This window comes from Homo sapiens, chromosome 10 (genome assembly GCF_000001405.40).
Source record: "Homo sapiens chromosome 10, GRCh38.p14 Primary Assembly".
Lineage (NCBI taxonomy): Eukaryota > Metazoa > Chordata > Mammalia > Primates > Hominidae > Homo > Homo sapiens.
Genome location: NC_000010.11, coordinates 50,328,516 through 50,342,552, shown reverse-complemented (window position 1 = coordinate 50,342,552; position 14,037 = coordinate 50,328,516). Strand labels below are relative to the sequence as shown.

Here is a 14,037-nt window from a genome sequence, read left to right as displayed (position 1 = left end):
TTCTTTGACAGAAATGATAAGGTTTTTCCTAGTATGTTTTATAACAACTCTTTTTTTTAACCTGATAAATTATATATCTACAAATTGAAATAAAAGCAGTTCCTGACACTTTCCCAGGGATGGACGGTCTTAACTGGTATAAAGAAAGCCATTTAACTGATCAGTGTTTATTTACAGATGGTTTGACAGTCCTAGAGTTTAAGCTGAATCTGAAATAGAATTGTTGGTCTGGGCTGCATTTAATTTGGTGGAAGACGTTTTTTTCTGTTCCTTTGGTTTTAAGAGGCTAATAAATAGGAATAGGCTTTAGAAATACAAGATACTTGGAGTTTATTAAATGCATTATTTTTGCTGCCAAACTTTAGTTCTGCTTTTGCCTTTTTGACTTTTAAACTTTTTTCCTAAAATCCCACTGGAACAAAATACCAGTACTGTACAAAGGCAAGGTCAACTCAAATTATGCTTCCTGAGTTTTCCCTGATATTTGTTGTTTTGTTTTTGTAAGTTTGCTCCTTTTCCGGTTTTTCATCAAAATTTTTAAATTCAGGCAAATAATTTACTACCCCACAATATAACTTTGAGTAAGTCTTAACAGTTACGAATCAGAATCTTTCACAGAACTGTGACTTTTAAGTAATTTTATTCTTATAAAGTATCCTCTTAACCATAAAACTAATTTTCTTAAAGTATATTAATAATTACAATTTTCCCAACAGGAAATTTTCCTCAAATCTATTTCTCTTTAAGCTTTATGATTTTGCGTTTTCCTGGTACTTATTGACAATACTGTAGTCATTTATATATTTAAATTGCTCAAAGCAAGAAACCAGTTGATTTGACAAAATTAACTCAGTGCTGGAATGAGGCCTCAGGTGTGTCCAACTTGCTGAGTGGTTTGGGTGGATCCTTACATCTCAGGAGCCTCGTTTTTCTCACAAACGGAATAATGACGTCTCAGTCTAGATGATTTCTGTTGTCATATATATATACAACTACATTTTATTAGATTCTAACATAATTGGATGGGCCAATTATATTGAATTTTATTAGCTTCAGAGCGTTTGTGTCCAGAATGCATCCAACTAAGTCCTCTCTGATTTTCACCTCTGGCGGGATAGGGATGTGGGAAATGAAAGCAGAGTCGTCATGATCTTCCTAAGCATCGTCCACCCTGTCCTTCTACTGGGGTCCATCGCTGGTTTCCTGTCTCTCTCCCTGTGACCTCTCTTCAGTGTATCTGGCCCACCAGACAGGTAGGAGGTAGGAAGAAAGATACAGATGACACATCAAGCAGTGAAGATGGATAAACTACCTTTTCCTGGCTCTCATAGAGAAGGTTAAAATCTTTTGTAGTATCAGAGGGACCCTTTGTTTCTAGTTATTTAGTTATTGCATTATAGCAGTTTTGTTTATCTGGCATTTTGGAGAAATTGATCCTTCTGGTTATGGGATATTCTTAGCAGAGAGTTAACTTCTCCCTGTTTTTGTATTTGACTCTTCTGAGTGTTGACCCCATCCCCAATCTCCACTAGGAGGTGTGCCACTTAGGAGCCTGTTTTATACGACTTCTCCAAATTAAGCCTATTTGGCCAGTAATTCCCAACAGAATATTTTTACTTTGATTTTAAAAGTCCTGGATCCCTTAAAAAATCAGTCTATCCTTCTTATTTCAGTTTCTTCTACTTTTTAGAGAAGAATCATGGGATGGAACTAGAGGATCACTTACTTAAGAAATGAGATCACTAGAATTTGGCCAAAAACTCCCAGCAATAAACCCTTTAACCAAATGTTTGAGGTGCTGGAAAATCTTAATCTTGAATTTGTGACATTGTGACATTTGGTTCTATCTTTATGTTGTATAAAATTGTCCTTTACTATTAAACATAGGTTTTGATTTTTTTTGTACTTAAATTTTTCCTCCTTTCATTCTTAATGTCTCCCCTGCATATCTGTATGTATATATGTTTATATATACGTAAATCCACATGGGATTTCCATGACCTCTCAAAATGGAAAGCAACAATAATGCCTGTCCTTGAGAACTTTTTTGGTTTTTACAATTGTAAATAATGTTGTCTCCCCATTTAGAATTGGACTTTCAAGCCACTGACTAGGAAAAATTCCTGGGAAATCTCTGCATTTGTGTCAGACTTCACTGCAAAACAGGTATCCCTTGTTTTAAGAAAGCATGATAAAGAACATATTAAACTTAGAGATTTGATGAAGGCTGAAGATGTAAGGATTTTTCATGCATGGCTAAATAATGGCTAACACAGTGGCACCTATGTGTGATACGTGTGGCTCAGCTCTACTGGGACATGGTGAACACCTGAAGAAGAAAGCCAAGGAGCAGGACTCTAGAGTTTCCAAGTCACCAGAGAAATTATGACTTAGTGTGGTGGTCATAGGTTCCTCAAACTCAACTTGCATGAAACCAGATTTACTATATTTTTCTTCCAACTTTTTCTTCCTCGTATCTGGCCAGTGGCATTTCCTAGAAACCTAGAACTCCTCAGTTCCTTTTATCCAGATAGTCACTAAGTTGTTTCCATTCTAATTTTAGATCCATTTCTTCTTTCCATTTCTATTTAGAACTCCATAGTGGGTGCTCAGATGGAGAACCAGCTCCTTAGCCTGAAGCTCAAGGGCCCTCAGCATCTGGTCCCAGTCTCTCCTGCCTTATCTCTAGCTACTCCACTCCACAGTTTTCCTCAAACACATTAAGCCCATATCACATTTCATTCTATTAGTTGTATATATGTCTCCTTCATTGCTAAATTGTAAGTTCCTCAAGGGGAAGAACTAGACCCTATTCATCATTCACCTTTCTATCCCAGTGCCTGGCACATACAAAGTGCTTACCTGAAATTCATTCATTCATTCAACTAGTGTTTATTAAGCAGTATACCATATTTCAGGCACCGATAGACCCTGGGGATGCTCCACTGAGTAAAGGATCCTGATGCTTTCGTGAAGCTTATATTCTGGCCAGTGTAAGGGAGGCAGTAAATGAATATATGATATTGGCTAGTGTGATGGAGAAAAATAAAGCAGTGCAAAGGGCTTGCAAGTGTTGGAGAGAGTGGGGAGAGGCTGGTACTTTAGATTGAATGATCGGAAACCAGACTCCTCTGATTAGAAGATGGTTGAACAGACATCTGAATCAAATGAGAGTGAATACCATGCATGTGTTTGGGGAAGAGTAGTTGATGCAGGAGACACAGAAAGTGCAGAGTTCTGGCACTTACCTGAGGAACGGTCAAGGGTCCATGTGGCTGAGTTAGCTGGGAGAGAACCCTGATGCAGGAGGTCAGTGAGGTGTTAGCCTTGTGAGCCATGGATGGATAAGGAGTTTGGATTTTATTTCAAATGTGGCAGTAAGCCATTAGGGGAGAAGGATATGAAAAACCTGGTGTTTTAAAAGAATGAAACTGGTGTTTAAAAGAATGTGGCTGCATTACAGAGACTAGGGAAGCAAGAGTTGAAGCAGGGGGCCTGGTTGAGATGCCACTGCAGGCTGGGCGTGGTGGCTCACGCCTGTAATCCCAGCACTTTGGGAGGCAGAGGCAAGTGGATCACCTGAGGCTGAGAGTTTGAGACCAGCCTCACAACTTGGAGAAACCCCATCTCTACTAGAAATACAAAATTAGCTGGGCGTGATGGCACATACCTGTAATCCCAGCTACTCGGGAGACTGAGGCAGGAGAATCGCTTGAACCCAGGAGGCGGAGGTTGCAGTGAGCTGAGATCGCAGCATTGCACTCCAACCTGGGCAACAAGAGTGAAACTCTAAAAAAAAAAAAAAAAATGCCATTGCAGTAGTCCAGGTAGAAGATGATCATGACTTAGACTCAGTTAACATTTGTTTAGTGAATAAATTTTGTGGAAGGGTAATGAGAAGGGCTGAACTCTTTCTAGAAGCCATGACACTTATAGTTTCTAATCTTTTATAATGACAGGGCTGACTTCTGTTGCAGTATCTTTCTCATAGGAGGTTTTTGGGGGTCTCTGTGAATCCTTGATTTGTATATGGAATTTGATGGGGAAATAGCATTTACTAATTTGGGGAAATCTCCAACTTTGTTTGAATATATTTTATTTCCGAGCGAAATGAAGTCAGGTATATATCTTGATATGTGTTTTCTACCATAGCTTCTTTTGGGTCAGACATTTGCCTAAAAGGAATAGCATAAGACAGTTGTATAAGGAGAAATTAGATGTCACAGGGTATATTAGTCAGTTGGTGGTGAAAAGATTTGAAGAAAGAAAAGAAACCATTGGACAGTTGGGTTATGGGTTGGGGTCAGGGGTAGAGAGAGCTTAGTGGTAAAACATTCTGGCATAAGCAGTTGCATTGATTTGTAGAGAGGCTAGTAAAATGGAAATGGTCACTTAGTGGGTGACAATTTTCTCTGAAAATTGATCCCATGCCAAAAGGGAAGGAAGTAAAGAAGAAAAATGATGACCACAGATCCTGCTTGGGACCTGCCATGGCATCAAGTTTTAGAACTGTTTCTAGGGGTTTTGTTAATCCTGCAGGAATGAACAGATACAACTTTCCAGTATGGCTTTTCTGGGATTATATGCTGAGAGAACTAGGATGGATTTTTAGAAGTTTACTAACATTCTGTATTTCATGTTTGGAGGTCACTTTGGGAAAGACTTTTTTTTTTTTTTTTTGTATTTTAACCTTTGATAAGCCTTTTGGGGGCCTTATTTGTTAAGTGGGTATCAGCCAACATAAGAGATTATTTCTATAGCATTTTCCTCTCTTCTGTGAATGGAATCTAATTTCCAAGCATAATCTTTGTACTGATTGGCAGTTGCTTTTGTCAGATGCTAATCTGTTTTTGGTTTGTGTTTTATTCAATAGACTAGATTCTCCACTAACATTTATCTTTCATTTTACCCTATTTTAATCCCATCAGTGTTTCTTTTCACATTAAGTTGATTGAATCAAACTACTTAACTCCTCTTCTGTTCCCAAAGGTAGTTTATGACCCACAGACACTGTCAACAATTTTTCCCTTTTTTTATGTCTTCGATGGTTGTGATTAAAGTTCTTAAAAGCATTTGATATAAAGAGCATTTGATATGAAGTTGGAGGGGGAGGTTTCTATTCAATAGAATTTATTTTCTGAGTTCCGGAAGAACCTTTTCTTAAGGTCATTTCACTTTACTATATATTAGCCATATACTGTGGGACCATAATTGTAGTCTTTAATGGAGCTTCAGAACATTTTTATGTTTAGTTATTTACCAAAAATTATTGGGGACTGTGTGCTATGGATATAGCAGCGAGCAGAACAGTTGAATGGGGGTTATATTCTGGGAAATGTTTGTTCTTAGAGTGACATCTCAGTTTTTGAAAATGTGTTGTCTAAACTCCATCCATGTATGAAACTCATGAGGACAAAATTCCCTCATATTACTGGTGCTTTTTCGGATACTTACCCATTATTTAATTCTCTGATAAGCTGTAATATTTATCTCCAGCAATAAAGCAAGGTAGGTGCTCAGGGATTACCTCTTTCCCTCCTTTCTATTCCCTCCACACATGTAGCTGCATCAATTATGTGCTTACTCAAAATCTGTTTTGTTCTGTTCCTTTTAATCCATGTCAAAAATTATTATCCTATTCAAGAGGCAGGTTCCAAACTAACTGATTTTAGAGTAGTAAGCATTAATGTGTATTGTATCATTTGATACAATCAACCCTTAAAACAAGTAGTGTTATTCTCCTTTCTCAGTGAAGAAAACTGAGACTTGGAGAAGCTATTGACTTGCCCAGAATCCTACAGTGGCATATTTTGGGCACTGAAGGCTCTTCATTATACATCCAGTCTATAAATTTCCTGGTATTATAGGCATCTGTCCTTTGGAGATGTATTTTTTTTTAACAGATTTAGTGTTGTAGATGCCACGTGCATAGGACAGAATAAAAACAAATGAGTTCAGTTTTTTAATTATATATTTTATGTGTTGGGTTCCATCTGGGAGACGTGCATGTGTTTCAGGATGGATCTGCCAACTTTGATAGCCGTCCATTTTTGCAGTTCCCCATAGACTGTAGAAAATGCCCTTAGCTCTGTCCTAGCTCTGGAACCTTCTAAGTGTGGAATGGGCCCTACTCACTACTAATCTGATAAAGCTTCCTTTGCTACCAACTTCAGTCACGTTTCTGCACTTAAGACCACTGACTAGGCATGCCCAACCTTATTCTTTTACTTTCTGTTTCTAGTACGTTTTCTCTCTTCCCTTGATTCTGACCTATTATCTATCTAGGCTCAGAGCCTGAGCTGAGATCCCATTTTCTTTCCTTTCCTGGGGACCTTCTCTGACCCTTCTCTTCCCAGATCATCTGGATCTCCTAGCCTCTTGCAGGCCTCGCTGTGCCTCCTCTGTCTTCTTTTTGTTTACCGAGGGCAGTTTTTTTGGAGTGGGGAAGGACACTCTAAAGGCTAGATGATGGATTCAGTCCCAGATTGTGCCTCACCTTTCATTCTCATGTTGGTGAACTGGTGGTCTTCTTTGCTTCTACCTTTTCTAATTTACAATTTTAGGTCTCATGACCTAAATAATGGACTGAGCCATAGGAATTATAGGGAAATTGTAGATTTTTCTCTAAAGTTAGTAATCCCAGCAATTTGACTTGTAGGCAGATTAGAAGATAAGGATAAACAAAAAGACAAACCAAATTATCATCTCACCAGAGATAAATGATGCTCATATTTGGGTTCATATAACTTTTGATATTTTTCTGCATGTGCTCATAAATGAGTACTCTGTGTACATGTGTATTTCTAAATGGTATCATTTTGGCCTTCTCTTTTACAGCATGCCCAGGGATTGTCTATTTCCCTCCTCTCAACAAACCATCATGGATGTCTAATTACTCATGATCTGATTTAGAAGTCACCACATCTGTGTCCCACCAGCCTGTCGGTGCCATGACTGTGGTGGTGAAGCATGTGGTTATACTCAGTCTTACACTGGAAGATCATTCTTGATTTAGATCCCTACAGCTGCCTGCTGACTGAGTGACTTTGGCCAAGTTACTTGACTATTGTAGTAGCATTGTTTCCTTACCTACAAAATGAAAATTATAGTTTCTATAATGCTGTCTTGAGGATTGAACGAGATGATATGCATAAAGCACTTGACAGAGTACTTGGCATCCTCCTGGTTCCCAAGCCCACCAGTGGCATTTCCATTCCTCCCAGTGCTCAGCCCAAATGTGTTGGGTTTTGTTTTGTTTTTGAGATGAGATCTCACTTCATCCTCCAGGGTGGAGTGTAGTGGCATGATCATAGCTCACAGCTCACTGTAGTGTGGAACTCCTGGACTCAAGTGATCCTCTGACCTTCCTCACCACATCTATTGCTGGCATAGGTCTAACCACCTTCATCTTTTACCTAGGTTATTACCTGGTCTTGCTTCCTTTTAGTGGGCTTTTAGTACATTTCTCTTCTTCCACCTCATATGGCATTAAAGCCAGTGTCCTCATATGGTGACCTACGAGGTCCTCCCAGACCTCATGCCCTGTACTCCCTTGATGATCAACAAACACCGACACACACAAGCCTCTGGAATTTTCTCCCACAGATAACCTCCTTGTTGACCCATCATACAGAGGTAGACCTTCTCTGACCAACTTAGCCCCCAATTCTAACCTCCCTTCCCCCAGTGAGACTCTCACTTAGTTTTACCCTTTAGCACTTATCTAACATGCTCTATATTTTACTTATTTCTTTACCTGTGTATTGTCTGCCTCTTTCACTAGAACACAGGCACCACAAGCCAGGATGTTTGTCCATTCTGTTCACTGCTGTATTCCGCATGTTTAGAATAGCACATGTATATTCATTGTGTGAATTTTAATAGACACTAAAATTTATTAAGTGTTGCACATGCTAGTTACTGTGCCTAGAATTCAATAAATGTTAGTGACTGCTGGTGATGTGTCTGTTATGTTTTCAGAAACCCCCTGTTAAAAAAACAGTGTTGCTTTTAAGGATAATCCCTTAGCCCAAGAGTAAACATTAATTGTTCAGTTCTGCTGGCTGTGACTAAGCAAGCCCCTAACAATGTGACTCAAGGTGGTTAAGTTTTGATGATGGGAAGAAATGAGGAGATCTGGGTGTGTATACGCACACACACACAAACACACATGTATGCATATACACATTCGTATTCTGTGTATATATACACTAATGTATACACACATATATGTACACATATATACATACATTATTTTTGTTGACAGCCTAAAATACCAACACAGAAATCTAACACCTTTTGTCTACAATTTTATTTAGCAGTTTCTGGAGGATACTTGATTTTAATTCTACATAACTATCTCAAGTAGATAGTGTTGATGTTTTTGTTCATGTCTTATAGGGTAGCATTTTTTTCTTTACTTCCTGTTACAACCTGTATATAAGTCAGGAAGTAACATTTTAATTTCATTAGCAAAAAGAGCAGCTGATTCAAAGTCTGAAAGACCTGGGTTTTGTTGTGACTCTGTCATTGACTTACTCTCTGGCTCCAGGCTAGTACTTAAATTCCTCATACAATTTCCCCTTCTGTAAAATGGGATAATGGTATATGCTAAACAGGAATGTTGTTAAAATAATTAGTAACAAAGGTGTGAATTTTGTTTGAGTTGGATTTTAAAAAGCAAAAACACATAGTATATGTACAGACACATTTCTGGACTGGTGCACAGGTATGTCTCATTTTCCTGATTCATGAACTGTGCCATCTACCCTGTATGGGTACCTAGGAATATTAAATGAGTTCTAAATCTCCCAGGCAAGCATTTATTTTGATTATTTTGTCTGTTCTACCATGTTTAGTCTTGCTCTTCATTTGTTTTACTAACCTTTCCTTAGAATTTTCTCTCCTAAAGTACTGAATTAAGCCCTGGATTTTCCTAAATGGAGTCTGTAGCCATTGAGATACCTGAGGCTGTGATGGGTGGAAAGGCCTTACAGGACAATGAGACTAGAAAGAAGAGAGAAGGATACAGAACTCACAGGCCCCAATCTCCAGGGGTTTGCAGTCCTGGTTGGATAATGGAGCAATCTCAGCAAGTGTTTTGAATAAAAATATGAATGCAGAAAGGATGCAGAGTGAAGGGATAGTGAGCATCAGGGCAGAGTAACTCTGGCAGATACATAAAAGGGTTTAAGCAACAAACATTTGTAGAAAGAAGTAGAAAAGGACTTCAGAGAGAATAAGAATTAAAGCTCTAGAGCACAAAACTGTGTAGTGTTGCTGGTACTGCCAGTCATATTACAGGTACCATCATAAGTCTCCCTGGGACTAAAAGACAAGAAAGCACAGGTCTTCTTAAGAGCGTCTTCTCACAAAAGGGGTGAGACGTGAGACATTTTTGTTGGTAATGGTGATTCCAGTCTCACTATTAAAAAATACCATACAGTAGAAACAAAATTTGAAGGAATTGGGAGGATGAAGTGGCTCTGTCCAGTTGGGGACATCTGGAAGCCATGAGGTAGATGCATAGGATTATAGCAGACATAATCATGTGAGAGGCCAGAGAAAGAAATTGACAGGCAAAAGCAAGAAATTGAGTTTGTGTTTAGGGAACAATGAGTGGCTCTTTTTGCCCTTGGCAGTGGGATTCACATCTAGGAGAAGACAGAGGAGGTGGAGGCAGGAGGATCATTTGAGCCCAGGAATGCAAGACCAGCCTGGGCAAAATGGCAAGACCCTGTCTTTACAGAAAATTTTTTAAAAATTAGCCAGCCATGGTGGCCTGCACCTGTGATCCCAGATACTCAGGAGGCTGAGGCAGGAGGATTGCTTGAGCCCGGGAGATGGAGACTGCAGTGAGCCATGATCATGCGACTGCACTCCAGCCTGGATGACAGAGCAAGATCCTGTCTCACCAAAAAAAAAAAAAAAAAAAAAAAAAAGACTTAAAAAAAGGAGATGTCATGTTGAAGGGAGTTGAAGAAAGCTATGAGGGGAGTTGTCACAATCCAGGGAATCCAGGTGCTGTAGCAAGGAATTAAGGAAACAGGTTTTAGAATTTCTTTGGAGTTAGTTAGCTTCCACAGAATATGGGAATGTGGGGGTGCAGAATGTTGTCAGGAGGGCTGTAAAGAAATTAAAATAGAAGGATAGGATAGAGAGGAGCAGGGGCTTCCTTAGAGTAGGGGACCTCTCTGAGAGATGACATTTGAATGGAATGTCAGTGACAGGCAAGTGTCCCAGGAGAAGGCAGAATCCAGGCAGAGAGAATGGCTGGCTCAGAGATCCTACTCAAGGCAGGAGGGACTTCGCAAGCTGTGTTCAAAGAGCCCCAAGGTCATTGGGCTGAGATAGAGCCTGGAGAATGATAGGGAGGGTGGCCAGAGGGCAGGCTAGAGGGAGGTAGCCAGATATAGGGCCTCAGGGTCTTGGGAAAAGATTTGGATTTTATTAAAATGAGTTTGACAACCATTGGAGGGCTTTAAGGGACATACCTGTTTAACTGTTTCAAAATAGATGATTCTGGCGGTTCTAAACAGAATGGATTTTAGGAAGCTACCTTAGTCTGTTCAGGCTGCAATAACAAAATATCGTAGACTGGGTGAGTTACAGCATTCTGGATGCTGGAAGTCCAAGCTCAAGGTGCAGGCTGATTAGTATCTAGTGAGGGCCAAGTTCCTGGTTCATAAATAGCGCTTTCTCCCTGTGTCCTCACATTTCAGAAGGGTGAGCCCACCTCTATTGTCTATTTTATAAGGGCACTAATTCAGACCTGAGGACCCTGCCCTTGTGATCTAATCACTGGTGATTAGGTTTCAACATAGGAATTTGAGGGGAAGGAGACACAAACATTCAGACCATAGCAGGAGGCAAGAGTGGTGTTAAGGACAACAGGTAGAAAGAAGGTTACTGTGGATGTTCAGGTGAGATAGAGTGTTGAGAAATGGATGACATTTCAGGATGACTGATTTAACATACGAGGTGGTAATAAGCAAATCTAACTGGGCACAAGACTACAAAAAATAATGAAAAATGGACACATGTAATTTTAGATAGCTATGTGATACTAGAATAATTTTTTCAGTACTTTACTAATATAGTCATTAAGTAGATTTTGAAATGTGGCTGAAATGGGATGGGATGTTGGCTCAGCTGTAAATACTCAAAATTCAGATTTCTTACACAATGTGATGCAGTTTCCTGAATATTTTTGTTTTGTTTATATTTCAGCTTAAACTCTCTAAACCTCACTTTTCCCATCTGTAAAATAAGGATCATATCCATGCATTGCCAGGTGGTCTTAAGAAGTAAATGACACAGAGCTTGGTATATAAGAGAACTTTGGCAAAACAATTGCTGTTGGTAATACCATGCCTGGGGAAATACCTCAATAGAAACTTTGTTTTTTAGTAGTGTGGTCGTTGGCTCTAAACAAAATTATTTCATTTTTCAACCTTATATATTAAGAAAAATATGACTATTCTGATGCCCATTCTTAGTGCTATTTCATGGCCTTTCCAGTTTTTTTGTCACCCATTTCTCTGATTCATAAGAAAGTGATGTCTTTTTCTTCCTTTTGCTGTTGAGGAAGCTAATTTCTAAGGAAATTAATTGAGATGGTCAAAGGCACCAGGTGAGCCTTTGTTAAAGGTAAAACTAGCATCTATGTAAAGATACAGCTCAGTGATGTATTGTCTGTCCGTTCATGTTTTACAGCTGGAATCACTAATCAGAGACCTGAATCATTACTCTTCCATAACTGCTCCAGAGATTTGAGTCTCCCAATTCTGTGTTAGTTACATGTGCTCTCCCTTGTGTATTGCCTCTTAGTTTTGAATTGTTGCTTAGTTCCACTGCACCATTGTCAAGTCCTATTTATCTCTAAAAGCTAATAGCTTCCAGAAAGAGCTAGGAGGCCAGGTCTGGGCACTGAAAGAGCTGTGTATGTCTTCCTACTGTGGATTAGTTGAAAGAGACAACTCATGGGAAAACAAACTTTTTCCAGTATTTTAGTTTTACTTTCCACTATAGTAATTTTTTTTAACCCCTTTTCATTTATTTATTTATTTAGGGACAGGTCTGACTCTGTCACCCAGACTGGAGTGCAGTGGCACAGTCATAACTCACTGTAGCCTCTAACTCCCAGGCTCCGGCGATCCTCCCACTGCAGCCTCCAGAGTAGCTGGAACTACAGGCGCATGCCACCATGTCCAGCTAATGTTTTTTTGTTTGTTTGTTTTGTTTTGTTTTGTTTTGTTTTTTAGTAGAGACAGGGTTGCGCTATGTTGTCCAGGCTGATCTTGAACTCCTGGGCTCAAGTGATCCACCTGCCTCAGCCTCCCAAAGTGCTGGGATTACAGGCGTGAGTCACCATGCCTGACCTTTCTTCAGAATTTTAGATCATTGTACCAAATGCCAAAAACACTCTAGTGCTGGTAGTATTTAGTCAAGTTCTGAGCAATGTTTTTAAAAATTAGGAATATAAAAAAGCTTAATAAAATACTAGCATGTACTTGACATAACATGCTATTCTAGTAAGTCTTAATAATGATCTATAAAATGTTAACACTTTTATTCATATTTCCTTATAATCAAATTGAACAGATACATTTTCCTTTTCTCTCAGAAAAAGTAATAATGAGCCTAGTGCTCTAACACTTGGGAGAAAAATAGATAAACGCGACCAAACACAAGACTCTGAAATGATAGTCCTTGCCAAGTGTGTGCAGATGGGAAACTGGCTTCTTTTGAATGTGGAAGGAGAGGTGTATCCCATGTGAGGGGAGCACCGTTGTGATTTTGAAAATTGTACTGTACATCTTCTTGTTGGCATCTGCTTAATTTCTAGCAATATCTCATTAACATTTCTTTTGTGAGTTTTTGTAAAGCACATCTTGAACTTTTAAACCTTTAAGTGAATAAGAATTCTAAGTGTATGAAATTCTTTGATTAAGGAAGTGAACGCCCAGAAGTGCATACAATTTCTTGAAACACTTTTATCCTCTGTTAAAGTTTGTTGTAGAAAATCCTTGTTTAACATTATACGCCAAAGACATTCTAAGCTTAATTTCAAAAATATTAAATGCCAAAGAGCAGAAAATTCTTAAAAACAACCACTTCTAACTTGTCACCTTATTGTTAACATTGACAGTTTCACATGGAAATGGTCAAATTTCAGTTTTCAAAGTCATTTGACTCTTTCACTTTAAGTCAAATAGTAAATGTGACTGAATCTTCAGTATTTTAATTAAAACAATTTTATGTATTTGTCTTTTCTCATCTTTTTATACCTCATTCTTAGATTTTTAAATAATTCTGAAATCACTTCTGTTGGTACTTACATGTAAGTCAAGTTTGAAATATGGAAATAGTTATTGGGGTGGTGTGTGTGTGAGTATGTGTACCTTTTGTGCATCATAAAATAATCAGGCAAAGTGATTTTAAGATAGTAATCTTTAGCAAAAGCAATAATTTTATTTTTCTTCCTCTAAAGAGTTCAGCAGATCTAGACTTGAAAGTGTGCTGACTTAGGTGTTTCTTGTATAGTTCAAGTGAAATTGCAAATAATTTCTGTTCACTTTAGCAGGATGGCTAAGGAGGGCATTTTCTTTTAAAGAAAGATGACCATTATGTCTTACAATGTAGAATTTACTTTGGTATTTCTTTTTTGGTGTTCTTGGCAAAGACATTTATAGGCTGGTATTCTTCTCTAGTATCGTCCCTCTTTATATTATTTAATTGTGCTTTGTATTTTACTTGAAATTAGAGGCATATAGATTGCCAAGACAGCTTTATGCTGAATAAATTCATGTCTCTGGAGGAGGCATACGCAGCTTGACTAAGAGAAAATAAGCAAAGATGGCTTCTATCGTAAATAATTCTGACCCAGTTTCTTAAATCTAGGTAAAGAGACCAACACCCAAATTCTACTCATAAAACCTAAGTAACATACATGGGCTGTGCAGATGTGGATAAAATGCTAGTATAATTGTATGGTTTTTTAAAATTAATTTTTAATCACACAAGTGACATATCTTT

The 14,037-nt window shown here is 38.5% G+C and overlaps 1 protein-coding gene across 15 annotated transcripts in view, besides 1 other annotated feature; it reads left to right on the top strand.

Moving 5' to 3' along the window:
- Nucleotides 1–14,037, top strand: part of SGMS1 (sphingomyelin synthase 1) — a 319,585-nt gene that overhangs the window by 282,632 nt on the left and 22,916 nt on the right. For 2 of the 15 annotated variants that reach the window (XM_011539584.4, XM_047424980.1), the window contains one exon: nucleotides 6,838–7,955. The exons of 11 other annotated variants lie outside the window; for them this stretch is intronic. In XM_011539584.4, the coding sequence (XP_011537886.1) occupies nucleotides 6,838–6,892 (55 nt within the window). In that variant the 3' untranslated portion in view covers nucleotides 6,893–7,955. Of the gene's footprint in view, nucleotides 1–2,088; nucleotides 2,167–6,837; nucleotides 7,956–14,037 lie in introns of those variants that run through there. 2 more of the 15 variants (XR_007061953.1, XM_047424983.1) reach the window with 2 other exon arrangements.
- Nucleotides 6,223–6,302: an enhancer, noted in NCBI's record as "active region_3358". NCBI's record gives its function as "activates an Ori minimal core promoter by ATAC-STARR-seq in GM12878 lymphoblastoid cells {active_cell/tissue: GM12878}" and the evidence as "EXISTENCE:reporter gene assay evidence [ECO:0000049][PMID:35858748]".